General features: G+C 36.9%; 1 protein-coding gene and 1 long non-coding RNA gene across 2 annotated transcripts in view; one reads left to right on the top strand and one right to left on the bottom strand.

Moving 5' to 3' along the window:
- KLRD1 (killer cell lectin like receptor D1) overlaps window positions 1-19,254 on the bottom strand; it is a 90,648-nt gene that overhangs the window by 37,138 nt on the left and 34,256 nt on the right. The gene's annotated exons all lie outside the window — the stretch shown is intronic.
- LOC105369656 (uncharacterized) lies at window positions 1,227-12,036 on the top strand. Its single transcript, XR_931353.3, has 2 exons — window positions 1,227-1,333; window positions 11,876-12,036. It is a non-coding gene; the product is annotated as an uncharacterized LOC105369656 (long non-coding RNA).

The following is a 19,254-nucleotide window of genomic DNA, read 5'->3' as shown; positions in this document are numbered from 1 at the left end:
ATTCATGTCATTTTCAAGCCTGCTAACACAATATCCATTCGGCAGTCCGTGAATCAAGGAGTCATTTCAACTTTTAAGTCATATTATTTAAGATATACATTTTGTATTTATTAAATAAATAGTGATTCCTCAGATGAAACTGGGCAATGTAAATTCAAAACTTTCTGAAAGGCTTCACTATTCTAGATTCCATTTAAGAACACTTGTGGTTCATGGGAGGAGGTCAAATATAGCATTAACAAGAGTTTAGAAGAAGTTGATTCCAATCCTCATGGATGACTTTGAGGTGTTCGAGACTTCAGTGGAGAAAGTAACTGCAGAGGTAGTAGAAATAGCAAGGGAACTAGAATGAGAAGTGAAGCCTGAAGATGTGGCCGCATTCACTATTTACAATCGCAAAGACATGGAACCAACCCAAATGCCCATCAATGATAGACTGAATAAAGAAAATGTGGTACATATACACCATGGAATTCTACGCAGCCATAAAAAAGAATGAGATTATGTCCTTTGCAGGGACATGGATGAAGCTGGAAGCCATCATCCTTAGCAAACTAATACAGGAACAGAAAACCAAACACCACATGTTCTCACTCACAAGTGGGAGTGGAAGAGTGAGAACACATGGACACAGGGAGGGGAACAACACATACCGCAGCCTATCAGAAGGTGGGGGGCAAGGGGAAGGAGAGCATTAGGACAAATACCTAATGCATGTAGGGCTTAAAACCTAGACGATGGGTTGATAGGTGTAGCAAACCACCATGGCACATGTATACCTATGTAACAAACCTGCACGTTCTGCTTGTGTATCCTGGAACTTAAAATAGTATAGGATTAAAAAAAAAAAAAAAAGATGTGGCTGAATTGATGCAATCTTGTGACAGAGCTTTCATGGGTGAGGAACTGCTTTTTATAGATGAGGAAAGAGACATTTCTTGGGATGGAATCTACTCCTGGTGAAGATGTTGTGAACATTGTTGAAATGACAACAAAGAATTTAGAATATTACAAAAAATGTAGTTGATAAAGCAGTGGCAGGGTCTGAAAGGATTGATTCCAATTTTGAAAGTTCTACTGTGGGTAAAATGCAATGAAACAGCATCATAGACTACAGAGAAATCTTTTGTGAAAAGAAGAGTCAGTCAATGCAGCAAACTTCATTGTTGTCTTATTTTTAGAAATTGCCACTGTCACCCCAGCCTTCAACAACCACCACCCTGATCAGTCAGCAGCCATCAATGAGGCAAGATCCACCAGAAACAGAAACAGACTAGGACTCTCTGAAAGCTCAGCTGATTGTTAACATTTTCTGGCAATATTTTTAATCAAGGTATGTACATTGTTTTTTAGATATAATAATTTTGAACACTTAATAGACTGCAGTACAGTGTAAACATTTACATGCATTGGGAAACAAAAAAAATTCATGTGACTTGCTTTATTGCAATAATTGCTTTTTTGTGGTTGTCTGGATCAGAGTGCACAGTATCTCTGAGGTATGCCTATATTTTACATAACTAGAGTACAATGTCAAAACCAGGAAATTGACATTGGTACAATCCATAGACCTTATTCAGATTTTAGTAGTTTTATATATCCATTCATTTGCTTGTGTGTATTTGTGTATATATATATATGTCATTTTATGCAGTTTTATCATGTGTAAATTCATGTAACCATCATCACATAACCTCTGATTTTATATTCCAGAAAATACTTGCCACCAATTATTTTGTTACTCTGCAGCATGGTTATTAAAGATAAATACTGAAACTTTTCCTTTATTTACCAATTTTCATTTTAATAAGTTTGTTTATTAGGGGAGAGTTGTGAACATTTATTGAGCACACATTACACGCCAATTCTAGTGCTTGACATGTATGTCTCATTTCAATGTGTGTGTGTTTGTGCGTGCATGTATCAGGCATTCTATTATGTCCAATGCTTTCTTTAATATAAATAAGATCACACAGATTTACCTAGCAATATGAAATCATTTTAAATTCTTTCTACCTCTGATTATTCTAAATTCCTTCTACCTCTGATTATTCCTAGAGTTAAAGATCCTAACATCATTTTAAATTAAATAGCCAGCTTCCTATTGGTCATTCTATCCATGGAACTTTTCTAAGAGTGGACTTTATAGGTCTTGCTCTGGCCTTTCCCAAGGAGTAGAGATGACCATTTCGTAGCTACAATCCAAGTAAGGAAATATTTGCCATGGTAGATGTTTGCTATGTTGACTTTCAGTTCTTATTCAACATACCATTTTAATTTACGTTGTCCAATGCCTTTGCAGTTATATTTTGGGCGTTGGAAACTGCCTTGTTGTTGTTCTTACAAATATGGTATCATTTTACAGTTTCAATTTTAACTAAAAATTACAAATTCAGCTGGATGGGGTGGCTCACGCCTGTAATCCCAGCACTTTGGGAGGCCGAGGTGGGCGGATCACCTGAGTCGGGAGTTCAAGACCAGCCTGACAAGCATGGAGAAACCCCATCTCTACTAAAAATACAAAACTAGCTGGGTGTGGTGGTGCATGCCTGTAATCCCAGCTACTCGGGAGGCTGAGGCAGGAGAATCGCTTGAACCTGGGAGGCGGAGGTTGCAGTGAGCCAAGACTGCACCACTGCACTCCAGCCTGGGCAACAAGAATGAAACTCTGTCACACACACAAAAAAAATTACAAATTCAATTATGGATATGGACCAGATACATTACACAAACATTTCCCCTTTTTGCATCTGTATCAAGTTAAAAGAATCCAGAAAACTGCTTCCCACTAAAAGAAATAAGCAAATAAACAAACCAAACCAAAGCAACTACCAATTCCACATGTGGTTCGGGAATAGGCAGACTCCGAAAGAAACAAAATAATGTTCAAGTTATGCATATAAGTAAATCTACACTGCCCAGTAGCTATTTACAAAGTGACATGTTTATGTAGTAAAAGAAGTGTGCAAATAGTGGTCACAGAATTAGCAACATACATTTTGAATAAAACATTGACAGTTTCCCTGATTGTTTAGCATAGAAAGAAGTTTATGAAGCCAGAATGGAGAAAACATAACTCGTTTCAAAATTTCTTAATTAGAGTCCTTAATGTGTATCTTTTCTAAATAATAGGTTAGTCCTTTATATAGGACCTAGCAAGGTGTAAGAACCTCATGAAAGAGCTGCAAAGAGCTCAGCTGCAGCTGCAGCTTGTCAACTCCTATGTGGCTGGAAACAAGTTTCTCTGTGGTGAACTGTTGGGTGGCCTTTAGGGTTCTCATTCTGAAATAACAAACCAAAGTCAACATATTGGTCACTTCCTAAATTCCAAAGCCCGCGTAATGTCACTAAGTGTCAGTGAAGTGGAACTGAGCCCCTGTCTTAGCCTTTAGGCAAAACTGTCTACATTGCAAAGCTCTATGGTCAGTATCTGCCGATGGAACTTGGGCATAAAGAAAAAGAGACACAGGAGGTAAAAGGATGCCCTAACTCAGAATAATAAGACACATAAATACTCAAACAGGAGATGAAGAATCAGATCAGTAAAACTCTATCAGACTAACCAACTCACCTTCTAACATTTTGTGACTAGACACTCATTTGGTACGCATTAAACACTTTATACATTCTCAAGTTCCAGTAGCCTGAAGTAAATCTTAAAAAAAGAGTCTTATAAAGGATTATTGCTAATATTTTATAATTTACCTCTAATTCTTTCATAGTGATGTATGTAGTCTATAATTGATATTTAATGATTATGTATAAAACCATTAAAAATTTTTGAGTTTACTTTATGCCAGGCTCTGTGTTTGATTATTTTATAACTTTTACTTCATCTAATCTTCATAAACCCTATGATATTGATAGTAATAGTTCTTAAATTTCATAGTTGAAGACACAGGAGATTATCAAGGAAACACGCTCAAAGTCAACCAAGCAGTGGTCAAGCTGAGTCTCACTAACCTTTGTCTACCTCTACCTCTAACGGATTAAAATCTAGAGAGTCATTTTGCATAACTGTAAGAAAATTATATTTTATTTTGCCTCGATTGTGCTGGGAATTTTTAGTTTTTGTTCAAATTTAGATAGATAAATTGCCACAGATATATTGAATGTAGGTTTATTATATAATAATTACAACATATTTACATAATGTATACATATGCATATATATGCATGCACACGTACTTGACTATGTACTGACTGATCTTTCTTTTTTTTTTTTTTTGAGACGGAGTCTCGCTCTGTTGTCCAGACTGGAGTGCAGTGGCGCAATATCGGCTCACTGTAACCTCCACCTCCTGGGTTCCAGCGATTCTCCTCCATCAGCCTCCTGAGTAGCTGGGATTACAGGCACGCACCACCATGCCTGGCTAATTTTTGTACTTTTTTTTTTTTTTTTTGAGACAGAGTCTCGCTCTGTCGCCCAGACTGGAGTGCAGTGGTGCGATCTCGGCTCACTGCAAGCTCTGCCTCCCAGGTTCACGCCATTCTCCTGCCTCAGCCTCCTGAGTAGCTGGGACTACAGGCGCCCGCCACCACGCCCGGCTAATTTTTTGTATTTTAGTAGAGACAGGGTTTCACCATGTTAGCCAGAATGGTCTCGATCTCCTGACCTCATGATCCGCCTGCCTCGGCCTCCCAAAGTGCTGGGATTACAGGCATGAGCCACTGCGCCTGGCCTGATCTTTCTTACAGAGGTAAAAATCCGTATTTAGACAGATAATTAAACTAAGTTATCCCCGTAGTTTTGTATAACCTAGGGGTGGTTTTTAAAGTCCTAGCAAATTTTTAGTTACATATTTTATTTCCTCGTTTCTCCATTTCATGCTTCTGTCTTCTAAGAAGCATAATTTAATTCGTAAAAGTATCTGTTTATATATAACAATATCTATTTATAGGTTTTATAATACTTCAGTATATAAATAATTCACTTGAAAAGGATGTTGGCACCAAAATGGATGGTCTTTTTTAAAACTTAGAATTTATTTGGATTTGTTTGAAGTTAGGTTTCATGGGAGGAAATGCTCTCATTATTTGTATAACATTTTTTTGCAACCTATCTGTGAGAGGTCTGAGTGTTAAATAAAAAAAAATTCGGAGTTATTTGTATATATGCATGTATTTGTGTATGAAACAAATACCAGCAAATACTTATTGACTATACCAATCTCATACATACCCTTGCATTCTCCCATGGCTGTCTAACTTCAAACCTGTGCCTTACAATGCATATCCATCTTTGCTTTTAGGTACAGTTTCACCACGGTTTTTAATCATCAAAAAAACACAAACAGATAAACAATAAAAAAAAAGAGGGTTTTGTTTTTGTTTTGAGACAGAGTCTCACTCTGTCACCCAGGCTGGAGTGCAGTGGTACAATCTCAGCTCACTGCAACCTCTGCCTCCCGGGTTCAAGCGATTCTCCTGCCTCAGCCTCCTGAGTAGCTGGGACTACAGGCGCACCACCACGCCCGTCTAATTGTTGTATTCTTAGTAGAAATGGGGTTTTGCCACATTGGCCAGGCTGGTCTCGAACTCATGACCTCAGGTGATCCCCCTGCCTCGCCTCCCAGAGTGCTGGGATTACAGGTGTGAGCCACTGCACCTGGTGCCCAGTGAGGTTCTTTATAAGAACAAAACTGAATGTAAACAGTTACGGGACCAGATGCGGTGGCTCATGCCTGTAATTCCAACACTTTGGGAGGCCAAGATGGGAGCATGACTTGATCTCAGGAGTTTGGGACCAGCCTGGGCAACAAAGTGAGATCCCGTCTCTATAAAAAAAAAAAAAAAAAAAAAAAAAAAGCACCATAAGCGAAATAAAATGATGATTCAAAGACTATTTTGCATTCAAAACTAATTTCTAATCAATCCTTATCAGGTAATTATTCTTTCTGCTTCTTCAATCTGCTAAATACAAGATGTCAAAAGTGAGTAGTTTCAAATGTTTGATTCTGCTTTTGGTAGATCGTAAACTTGAGTAGGTTACATAACCCCTTTAAGATTCTTTTCCATCATGTGTAAAACGTAAAATGCAACTAAATAGTTTATTGGAAATATGTTCTGAGAATGGTTTAATGTATAAACATATAGGGTATTTAACACCTAATTAGTGCTCAAAACCATTAAGAAACATATTGAGGTAGATAGGACATAAGCTATTCATTATTAGTTACAGTGAGTTTGCAGACTGAACTTTAAGCTTTCACGGAAATCTCCGGACTCTGATATGACCCTGGACCCCTGTGAGACCTCAGTCATCAGTACACTTTATGTGTAACAGGTGTGGCTGACACATCACACCGTATGGTACAGAATGTTTCCAACCACAGAGTTGCTGCTGCCTAAAATAACAGTTAACACCTACACTGGTCTTGGTGTGGCCGCAGGATGTTGGGGATAAAGTGGATGGGTAATGGGTAGAGGAAATGGCGTGTCTGGCGAAAACAGTAAGATGCTGTTGCAAACAATATTGGGAGTTGAAGCAATTTACCTGGGCAAAAAGCAGAAGACACAGCTTAAGGAGGAGAGAAGAGACCAGAACTGAGGTTTACAAGCATGGATGTGGCTGATCACTAGCACTGTAGCTGCGCTATTTTTGTTATTCCAGCAAGTGTAAACATAGGAAACATTACTAAACTTAGAGCTGTGACAATATTTACCTGTTAAGAGAAGAGGAGGGAATAGGAAAGAGTCAATCACAAAGAAAAAATAACATAAGAATCATAAAGCATTGACTGGACTGTAAATACTAGTCATATTTTCTATGAGATGATTTTTAACTGGAATTTTCTTCGGATAATGTGCTTAGAGATAGCGTGTTTTGTAGGTGGAAATAATGGGCAGGTAAAGACACACAAAAAAAACAACTTTAAGGTACCATGAAGAAAGATGTTAAATAAAACCATGTGAAAAATTATCCTGGTGACTATTGATACACAAAGGACTTATTTCATATTGGAAGCTTAAAGAAAGGAATGGTTTGTCCCTGAGTTATTTCAGAACCCTTATCATGACAGAATGGTGACTGTAACAGGAATTTTTCAGACTAGACATAAAGATGGTTCACATGAGAGGAAAAGAAAACTAGCATATGGCAAAAATAATTTCTAGAATAAACGTGACTTGACTGGCTGTGGTTTTACAGACTGTTTTTAAAAGAAGGAACCCATTTTTATCAGTCACACGACTCTCTACTTAAATTTCAATTTTAGCAACAACACAATCTAAAGGTAAGAATTTATTTTATAAATAGTAGTAAAGAATTTTGAAAATACAGAAATGATATTTTACTCCAGGTTAATATGCAACATTGCTAGCATGGTACACTGGCAACATCAGTAGAGCCAGATAATGAAGAGAAATCTCACAGGAATAGGGCATAGATTGTTCTTTTATATATAGTTCTCTCACCATACATCTAAAAACTTTTAAGTGGAAACTAAATGATGTGTAGGATACAGAGACCCTAATTTCTTTTTTTTTTGAGATGGAGTTTCGCTCTTGTTGCCCAGGCTGGAGTGCAATGGCACGATCTGGGCTCACCGCAACCTCCGCCTCCCAGGTTCAAGCAATTCTCCTGCCTCAGCCTCCTGAGTAGCTGGGATTACAGGCATGCACCACCATGCCCGGCTAATTTTGTATTTTTAGTAGAGACGGGATTTCTCCACGTTGAGGCTGGTCTCGAACTTCTGACCTCAGGTGATCTGCCCGCCTTGGCCTCCCAAAGTGCTGGGATTACAGGTGTGAGCCACTGTGCCTGGCCCAGAGACCCTAATTTCTTATCTGAAATTTGTGGAGAGAAATGTACTTTAAAATTTATTAGTTTTTATTTTAAAATATATGTGTTTATACATACATGAATTAACAGCCTCATTGGCATTTGATGATTCACGCTATAACCCAGCACATTAATATTTCCACAGCAAAATGTATAAAACAAAAACTATGATTAGCTAAGTTCAGGTTTTGGAACCAAACTAATGAAAACATTTTGTTTACAGAGATTTGGTTTTTAGCCTTATGGATAAAGAACTGGGGACTTATCTCCTGTGTCAGTATGTGGATTAAATTATACTCAATTCTTTGTTCAAAACACCTATTCCCCACTTACTGAGCCCCTCCACATGTGGTTTCATACTGATAATTTATCTGAGTGATTTTACACACATGTTATAGTAAACCTATGTATAGATTGGACAAGGTAAGTTGAATCTCTTCACAGAATATTGTGTTAACAAGTCTTTTGTTGTTGTTGTTGTTGTTGTTACTGTTGTTTTTTGAGAGAGAGTTTTACTCTTGTCACCCAGGCTGGAGTGCACTGGTGCGATCTGGGCTCACTGCAACCTCCACCTCCCAGTTCAGGTGATTCTCCTGCCTCAGCCTCCTGAGTAGCTGGGATTACAAGCGCCCACCACCATGCCCAGCTATTTTTTTTTTTTTTTTTGTATTTTTAATAGAGATGAGATTTCACCATGTTGGCCAGGCTGGTCTTGAACTCCTGACCTCAGGTGATCCGCCCACCTCGGCCTCCCAAAGTGTTGGGATTACAGGCATGAGCCACCATGCCCAGCCAACAAGTCTTACTTTTGATTGAGTATGAGAAGTATCTCTCCCAAAATATAATGGTTCTATGCATTGATAGATTTGGTTTCTTCCACTCTGTCAGTCACTTTTCTCTTTGTCCTCCCTGGTTTTCCCCTGTTCTGCTTGTTTCTTGGGGTGCTGATTCCTGCAACACATGTTTCACCACCTCCATGGCTAACCAGCTTCCAGGTAGGTGGAGTCAATGGAGCCACTGGGTTGAGATTTGGAAGGTAGGAAGAGGGGAGAAGCCTGTTATTTTGTCTTTCCCCTCTCTGCTTCAGGCTTTATCTCCTGCAGTGACCACACATGCTATGTACTGGTCTGTTTTATTTAATTTTAATATTTATTTTATTGTGATAGGAATACACCATGAGATCTACTCTATTAACAAATTTTGAAATGTACAATACAATATTGTTAAGTCTAGGCACAATGTTGTACAGCAGATCTCTAGAGCTTACTCATTTTGCATTACTAAAACCTTATCCCCACTCTCCGCTCCTCACTGTCCCTGGTAACCACTATTCTGCTCCTTGCTTCTATGAATTAGACTATTTTAGATGCCTCATACAAATGGAATCGTGTTTTTGTCCTTCCCTCATGCTATGTTGTTTGAACTGCTGCCAAATAGCAACTGCCTCGTGGCAGGCACCAGCCACTGTGGTGCCAGTCCCCATCAAGTGGTTCTGGTAAACCCACCTGCTCCCTTGTTTCCTCTAGCTCTGGGAATAGTACCAGCTTTCTGTTTTGCCCATATCTGAATTGTCTTCTTTCTCCTGACGGACTCTTAGATTTCTCCAACTGTTTGATAAATACCCTCCTCTGTTAACTTCCCTCTATGTAATGACTTGGCACAGAATTTGTTTTCCTGCCTGGACATTCACGAATACATCAACCTACCTTGAATAATATCTACTACACTCTTGTTTCCCTGACAATTTCTCTGTCTTTATTTCTACCTATTTCTGCTCAGTCCCTCCCTCTGATCTAGCCCCAATGCTACTTCTCAAACAAACCATTCAGTCTTAGGTTGTAGAGACTGTCCACTATTTGAACAGTTCCTTGCTCAAATATTTTAGAGACTCTCTACGTCAAACGTCGCTCATTTGACATTACTCAAATGACACCTCCTTTGGAATGCCTTCCTTGAACACATCTTCTAACTTTGTACCCACATCATTATGTATGCTCTACAATATTTCTTACAAAAGAGAAAGAAGCCAAAGTTCAGTCACAGGACCAATAACTTAAAGCCAAAATATAAAGTGGCATACCATTTTAAACATAATACTATATATGAACTTTATAGTAATTATATTTTTATTTGCCAGATGTGGTGGCTCACACCTGTAATCCCAGCACTTTGGGAGGCTGAGGCAGGCGGATCATCTGAGGTCAGGAGTTCGAGATCAGCCTGACCAACATGGAGAAACCCCATCTCTACTAAAAATACAAAATTAGCCGGGCATGGTAGTGCATGCCTGTAATCCCAGCTACTCAGGAAGGCTGAAGCAAGAGAATCACTTGAAGCCGGGAGGCGGAGGTTGTGGTGAGCCGAGATCATGCCATTACACCCCAGCCTGGGCAATAAGAGTGAAACTCAGTCTCAAAAAAAAAAAAAAATGTATGTATACATATGTGTATATGTTTTTATTTGATATTTGTAACTTTATGGAGAATGTATTTTATTATATAATGCTGACATTAAAAAATTATAGGCAATGTTAGAGAAATCAAATATTTATATTTTTATAAAAATAATGAATAGAAGAGTGACATATAACGATCAGAGTACTTTATTCTCAAATTCACAAAAATGATAAACCAGAAGATTAAAACTAGAAGAGATTAGTGGTTATTGGTAGTTTTAACAGAATTCAGATTAGAAGGCTACATTTGTATGAGAATTATTGTTTCTCAAGACTACAGAATTCTATTTATGTAACCAAAACAATTAGAATAATTCAAATACTGCCGTGTAAGTTTATGACCAAGGTTTCCCTCAATTTCCCTCTAAATTGGATATATAGTCTTGCTCTTCACCTGCTTCCCCGGAGTCTCCAATTATGTAAGTAATTCTCAGATAATCGTCTCTTAGTCATGTTCAGTCACGGGAATGTGTCATTTCAGGAATTCAAATTCCTAAATCTATATAATAACAAAATTTTTGAATTTTATGCAAAGCTAAAATTTTTCTTTTTCCTTTGGCTCCAACTGAACTCAGATGAGAAAATCAGCACAGAAAAAGGTAGTGTAGATGATTCCTCTCTTTGTCTCGGGAGAGAATCTCAGGGGGTTCTTGGATACATCCCTGCGGAGCCCTGCAACTACAACTCCTGACATGGGCAATGAACCTGCACTTGTGTGTTGTGTGGTTTTGATTCTTCCTCACCCTCAAACCAGGTGTCTCATATTTTCTGTTAGAGCGCTATATCCCACCTATCACTCTTCATGCATGGCAGCTGTCTTAGTATACTATTGCTGCTGTAACAAACAAGCACAAATTTAGTAAGAAAAACAACAAAAATTATTCTCTTACAGTTTTAGAGGGTTGGAGTCTGAAAAGTCTTATGGAGCTAATATCAAGGTTACAGCAGGGCTGAATCTGTTCCTCTCCTCATCCAGCTTCTCATGTCTGCCAGCGTTCCCTCACTTGTGGTTTTGTCTTTCCAGCTTCTGTTCCCATGATTGCACTGCCTCCTCCTTTTCTGTACTCAAATCTCCCTCTGCATCCCTTTTATAAGGATACTTGGGGTTACATTTTAAGCTGACTTTGATAATCCAAAATAATCCTTCAATCTCAAGATCCTCAATCTCTTCTCACTTCTCCTAAGTATCTCTCGCCCTATAAGGTAGCATTCACAGCTTCCAATGATTATGACCTGGATATACTTGGAGCCATTATTCAGCCTACTATAGAATCTAGGATGAGTCCAGGTTATTCCCTGCTCTCATCTGGACCCCTTTTACCTACAAGAAACATTCACACATAGTTTATTATATGGATGTGCAACGGGTTCCCAGTGGATCTTTCACAACTCTACCACCACAGGCTTCTGGGGGCAGGATTCTCAACACCTGGTTTTCAAACCACACCTCACCTCCATTCTCCATGCTTTTTTGCTGCATTCTGTGCAGCTGAGCTCTGACAACTGTATCACACAGTCTTCCTCACCCTCTGGCTTCTGTCTGTTTTCAACCATTGGAAAGCATTGGTAGGAGAAGAGAAGCTGGGATGAGAAAGTGGAAAAATTATATAATTCTCTAGCTCCTTCCTCATTTTCAGGTCCTGGAAATGGCTAGAATCTGTCCTGAACTCTTGGCATCTTCTGATACTCAACGATGGAGCACGGCGTGAACATCATCCTGCTGCCCTACACAATATTGTCTAGACTATGGGTAGCTAAAAAATCTATTTGCAATTAATAATAAAGAAATAAAAACAAAGTTCTGATTAAGTATTCTGCTGTATATTTTCCTAGAATATTGGCTACTTAAATGTTTTCCATATAATTATTAAATAAATATTTATTCTGAAGCGGTCCATCTCTATTCTGATCTAGCCCATGTTGAATTTTTTCTTCAGAAAGGAAAAGAGATTTTTCTCCTGCATTTAATCCAGTGATTATTTTTCATTTAAACATCAGGCATCTGGTTAATACACTCAAGGTGTGCAAAAAGTGTGGCTGACACATCATTTCACTGTACGTTCCTCTGTACAGAACACTTCCAACCACAGTGTTGCTAGCCCTGGAAAGAACATTTAGCACCTAGACCACCGATGTTATTGTAACGATTGTTGGTAATTCTAACTTGTGTCATGGGAAAGGAGAAAGACATTTCTGATGAAAAATAATAAAATTCTACTGCAAGAGATATTGAAAGTCAAATCTGTGTATCTGGCCCAGAAGCAGTAGGTTTTACTTAACAGAGGAGAAGGAAATCAAAACTGAGATTTGCAAGCCTGGATGTGGTGACCACTATTAACTATCACATTAGTGTCATTATCATTTGGACAAGTAGGACCACAGGTAACAACATTAGCTTCAGAATCATAAAAGGATTTTTTGTTGGAAGAGGAAAGAGGGAGGAATGTAGAGACAGATAATAATGTGAAATAACATGAGGCAGGAAAAATTTTGATGTAATGAGAATAAGAAATAATATAAGGATGGAAAAATTCTTGATACAAGTTATACATATGATTATGTAAGTATTATAATCATGTTCTGAACATGCATTCTTTGAGATTTTGTCTCAATTGGATGTATTTAGGTAACGTAATTTGTAAACAGAAATAATGGGCAAGTGCATGCATATAAAGAAAACCCCTGAATACCTGTCATACTGCCTATTTATATAAATCAGAATCCTTTACAATCTTGAACTCATTCTGCTTAGAAAAATAAAATGTGATTTGATAATAAGATTTCCAGAAAACACATTCAGGCATTTATACTAGAGAAACAGGAAGCTAGACCATTTTAAAAATCATTTTTCTGAAACTGTAAGTGACTAAAACAGCCATGCATATGACACAGCCACATAAAAGAATGAGATCATGTCTTTTGCAGCAACATGGATGAAGCTGGAGGACATTATCCTAAGCAAACTAACACAGAAACAGAAAACCAAATACTGCATGTTCTCACTTATAAGTGGGAGCTAAACATTGAATACATGTGGACACAAAGAAGAGAACAATAGAAACCAGGACCTGCTTGAGGGTGGAGAGTAGAAGGAGGGTGAGGATCAAAAAACTACCTGTTGGGTAGTATGCTTATTGCCTGGGTAATGAAATAACCTGTAAACCAAATCCCCAGAATACTCAATTTACCCATGTAGCAAATCTCCACAGGTACCCCCTAAACCTAAAATTAAAAAAAAAAAAAAACTGATGCTAACATGTTTTTACAAAAAAAAAAAAAAAGAATTGTAAAACACAATGAAAATAGCATACATATCTGAGAAGCCATTTATCATATTTAACATTCCCTTTAAGAAAGAGTATGCCTCTGTGCAAATTTGCTATATCTAATTCTCCCAGGGAAGAAAGTTGTTCATACAGGAAAAAACAAAACAAAACAAAACAAAAACAGCCATGATTTGCATTACATGTTAAAAGAAGTAACATTTTCTTAGCAATCAGTAGCAAATAACTTTACTTAAGTGGCAGTTTTCGGAAGGATATAATTTAAAACTAAGGACTTACTTTGCAAATAGCAGTAAGTGTTTTTAAATCAATGGTTACCATTAAACACAGCTTATATAGCATACACAAGTTAAGCAATAGGTCAGAAAATAAATAGGAATCAAGACAGCACTAGTTCAGGGACTGTTCTTGAATTCATAATATGTGGACCAAGAAGAGATGAGGAAGGTAGAGTCAGAAATTGCTTTTGTGTAATTTTGAGGAGGCCATACCAAAGCTTAACAATACCAGATGCCTACAGATGGTAGGGAGCATGGAAGTCCACCAAATACTTTAAATATTAGCCTTATAAGTGGCTTTTTTGATAAGACAGGCACCATTTTCAGACTGTAAATGGCTTGGAAACCTGAAAACCTGACATGGATTATTTTCACAGGTCAAATGGAATGGCTTGAGTTGGCTGATAAGACTGGAATAGTAATACTATCACCTAGGAAAGCGCACACAGAGTGAGGCTCAACGGACAGCTACAAGAGAGGGTCAAATATCCATTGTAGTTAATCTGCCAAAAGTGAGTAGGGGCAATACCCTGTGCAATGTGGTCTCCTCCTCCAGAAAACAATAGGATCATCTTAGGCAGGGGCCACAAGTCTGGCATGCAGTGGAAGCCTCTGCATAAGAAACAGTCCTTCACTCTCTGCCAGTCTATGATGGTCGCTGTGTTGTCATGTCCAGAATAACGATAAATCCAGGCAGCACTGGTAGAGATCAAATAGTGCACAGACTTTAAACCTTTCACAAAATTTAACCTGAAAGGAATCACAGATGTACATGTAAAATACAGATGTCCACATTCTCTGATGAGACCAGTTGGAATTAAGCTGTTGATTGAGTCTGCACTAACTGATCAATATTTTCTGTAATCTAAAACTTTTCTAAAACATAAAGTCTACTAATTTTTAAAAATCAGAGGGACTAATTGAAGTAATATCATAAAATAAATAAAAATTATAATTTCTAAATAGTATATCACAGTTAAGATTGTATTCAAATACATTTTAATTGTGATTCTCAGAATCACCTGTGAAATATTTTTATACAATTTTAGAAAAGAAATAAGTGAAGTAAAAAAATCATTTTTATATAGGCTGTTTGCATATCATAACATAATCAATCAATGGCAGAACTGAGTCCCAAATTCACAAATTCAGCTTCCAAATTCTACTCTCCTTCATTCTTTTCCACCATGAAGTGGGAAAATAATAATAAACTCAGTAAAAAAACACCACCACCTATCCAAAACCAAAATAGCAATTGATTTATTTAGGGACTAAGTTCTCCCCTATAATAAAAATTAAAATGACTATCAAATAGGGAGTTAATAACATTTGTTTATATTTTTCCCTTTTCCGCTTCCTCCTTGCTTTTCTTAGCTCAGTGAATGTATTAAAGGTCTAAATATTTCATGCAATTAGAATCAGTAGTGGGGATACAGTTAAATGGGTGAGTCTCAGTGAGTCTACAGTTCCATGTACCCTGCATGTTTGAGATAGATCAGAAACCCACCTCTACCTTTGGAATATCAAATATCTAAAAAAAAAAAAAAAAAAAAAAACTCTGTGAGGCCAACATTTGCCTTTGTATTTATTTCATTCATTCTGCTTAATTTCTTCTTCAGGCTTGACTTTTATTTTCTCATTTGTTGCTACTGCCATGCCCTAACCACACAAAACTAGACTTAATGGTGAGTCATCTGAATGATTTTGTTTCCACTTATTTCTTATTTTCCATTACATACGCCTAATTAACTGTGGCATGCAGCTAAATTAAATTTCATCATCTCTTGTCACTAAGTATGCAGAAAAGAATAATTAAAATTTTTAAAAAGAAACTTCATCTTCTCTTTTTCTGTGTCCAGATTGCATATTCTGAGGATAGAGGTCAAACTTCCTGGTGCTAATTCATATCAGGCTCTCAAATTTCACCTTGATTATCACTGGAAATTGACCATTATTTTACTTTTTTTTTTTTTTTGTCAAATTTTATGGTGGCACATGCCTGTAATCCCAGCTACTCGGGAGGCTGAGGCAGGAGAATCGCTTGAACCTGGGACGGGGAGGTTGTGGTGAGCAGAGATCATGCCATTGCACTCCAGCCTGGGCAACAAGAGCGAAACTCCGATTCAAAAGAAAAAAAGAAAAAGAAAAATTTCTTATTCTCAATACCAAGATATTTTGTTGTTATTTTCAAATTTTGATCACTGCCCTTAAACCATCTCTCTTACAGGAAGTGAGCAAAGGCCAAAAGGATAAAGATACTAAAAGGCTGTGATAAACAGAAAATGTCAAAGGCTACCCTAGAGAAATTTATAAACATTTATACCCATATACCGACCTAGTCACTAAATATCCAAACAAACAAAGCACAAGAACAGAAAACATATTATAATTTTAAATATAGATTACAAGTGTAGTGAGGTGATAATTTAAGAAATACAGAGAACATCCAAGGACTATTATTTATAATAGTCCTGAAAAGAAAGCAATTAAATGTCCATCAAAGGTAGAGTAAGTAAACTGATTGAGAGTATATCATACAAAGAAATTACATACACAAGTAAACTACAGCTGTCCACAGCAACACAGATAACTCTAATAAATACAGAATAAAACAATGCAAAAAAAGTATAGTTTCATTCTATTCACACAAATATAATTAAAATAAGCAAAAAAGCTACTAAGAATATGTGCATAAGAAGCAAGAAAATCAGAAGAATGATTAATTCTAGGAGGAAGCATTGTAATAAGGAGGATCAATGCAGGAAACACTCTGGGGTGTGGTAATATCTATCTTTACTTAACTTTTATCATTATTCATTAATCTCTACATATATGTTTTCTGTCCTTTCCTGTATGTTTGTCATATTTCAGAGGGAAAAATATTAATTGATTTATCTAATTGGTAATTTTTATTATCATAAAAGTTTATCTTAAAAAGAGTGGAGGATATACAAACGCAGTTTTGCATATTATCTCACTTGATATTAGAGGTATGACTAAAATAACATTCCATTGTAACTGTGAACTTTGAATACCTGGTTTCTCAAGTAACTCAACAATTCCCGCAACACCTAACCCTAACTACATGCTTCGGATAAGGTAAACTTAAACTAAATCAGCTTCCCCCGATGGTTGAAAGAACATTTTCTTCCTGAAATAGTATCTCTGGAGCCAGACATCATGTGGATTTGCAGGTTGCATTAACACCACCACCGGTTAAAAAGATCAGCAGGTCAAGATTTCATTTTAAAATAGTCTAAATTAGTAATATTTCTTGTCACCTAGCAGGAGAAAATACAAACTTAATTTGTAATGTTCTCTAGAACAACCCATTTCATCCCAAGCTTAATGATTTACCATGAATAAATTAGTGAGAAAGATGAGACACTCAGAGCTAGAAACAAATAAAAAACTAAGCACACAAGCAAAGTACCCGAAAAAGAACCAGTAGGAACAAAAAAGACAGAAGATACAAAATAACGGCTAGGCACGGTGGCTCACGCCTATAATCTCAGCATTTTGGGAGGCTGAGGCAGGCAGATCACCTGAGTTCAGGAGTTGGAGACCAGCCTGACCAACATGGTGAAACCCCATCTCTACTAAAAATACAAAAATTAGCTGGGTGTGGTGGCAAACGCCTGTAATCCCAGCTACTCAGGAGGCTGAGGCAGAGAATCGCTTGAACCTGGGAGGTGGAGGTTGCAGTGAGTCGAGATCACACCATTGCACTCCAGCCTGGGTGACAGAGCAACACTCCTTCTCCAAAAAAGAAAAAGATACAAAACAACCATTACCTCAATAATCAGACACATGGTATAAATTAATTATATTTACCATGGTTAAGGGAACATAAGACAAATTTGGAAATGTGTTTAGAAAACAAAAAACTCTTTAAAATACATAAATTTATGGAGTTGTAAAAGAACTAAATATAATTTTTTGAAAGACAAAATAATATATTGGATATATTTAATGTCTACTTAGACACGGATGAAGAGAGAATTAATGAATTGAATGACATTTCTGAAGTCATTTTTCAAAACACAGCCCATAGAGACAAAGAGACAGCATGAAAAAGAAATTAAACATATGGCAGTTTAGACAAACGCCTCCAGGTAGCACAATTTAATCTAATTGTGTTAAAGGGTTATATTAAAATTGTGATATACTACTGTTGAATTGAAACTTTGATTATTATTAAAAGACCCATCTTCTTACTACATTTTTCCTTAAAGTGTGTTTTGTCAGATATCAGGAGCTATGATACTTTGGTTTGATTAATGTTTGCACTACATAAATGTTGATCTTCTATTTTCAACCATTTCACATCCTTATCTACTAGATGTAATTTTTGTAAATAACCTGTAACATTTAAAAAAAAATTTTTTTTTGAAATGGAGTTTCAATCTGTCACCCAGGCTGGAGTGCAATGGCGCGATCTCAGCTCACTACAACCTCTGCCTCCCGGGTTCAAGCGATTCTCCTGCCTCAGCCTCCTGAGTAGCTGGGATTAAAGGCATGCACCACCACCCCCAGCTAATTTTGTGTTTTGTAGAGACGAGATTTCACCACATTGGTCAGGCTGGTCTCGAACTCCTGACCTCAGATGATCCACTCACCTTGGCCTCCCAAAGTGCTGGGATTACAAGCATGAGCCACCATGCCTGGCCAACATTTAAAAATTTTTAAGAACCCATTGTGATAATTTTTAATTGTTTTTCCTGGAACATTTACAGAGTTTACCTTTACTGTTGATATGTCTGATTTTTTATAATTTACATAAATTTATGCTTTCTACTTGTCCTTGCCTGATCTTACATCTCTCCCCCACTCCACCCACCCTTATAACTTCTTTTGAATGTACGTATTTTTCTCAATCTATTTTTTCTTCTGTAATTTTTGAAATTATACTTTCATCATTTTACTACTCACTCTAGAATTTAATCCATGTATATATGAATTATTAATATCTGAAGTTGATCATCATCTTTGCACTCTTCCAAAACAACTTAAGACCCAACAATGCTCCATAGTCTGCCAATGAAATTATATGCTTTTGTTATGAAGTTTATTTCTATCCATCAAAGGAGAGGGCAGTTGACCTGTGGTTACTGTGGTGTGTATGTCTCAGAGCATACATTAGACTATAAAAGAAATTTCACATATGCACACTTTAGTCCTTTCAATGATAAAAACAAATTATGCTCATCAGAAACAGTAACACAAAAATAGAAAACCACATATGAAAAATACAAATTTAACAAGTTAATGACCAAAATATTATTACATTACAATCTTTTCAGGTCAGACATATAATCTTATTCTATTACAAACACACATATAATTATAGAATTCTTTCTACCAAAATATAAAGTTATACTATGTAATACTTTTACTTTTTTCCACTTAATGTATCATGGAAAATTATCCACATAAATACCTGAAAAGCTATCT

This window comes from Homo sapiens, chromosome 12, assembly GCF_000001405.40.
Source record: "Homo sapiens chromosome 12, GRCh38.p14 Primary Assembly".
Classification (NCBI taxonomy): Eukaryota; Metazoa; Chordata; class Mammalia; order Primates; family Hominidae; genus Homo; species Homo sapiens.
Note: the sequence above shows the minus strand (reverse complement) of the source record. Positions and strands in the feature narration are given on the sequence as shown.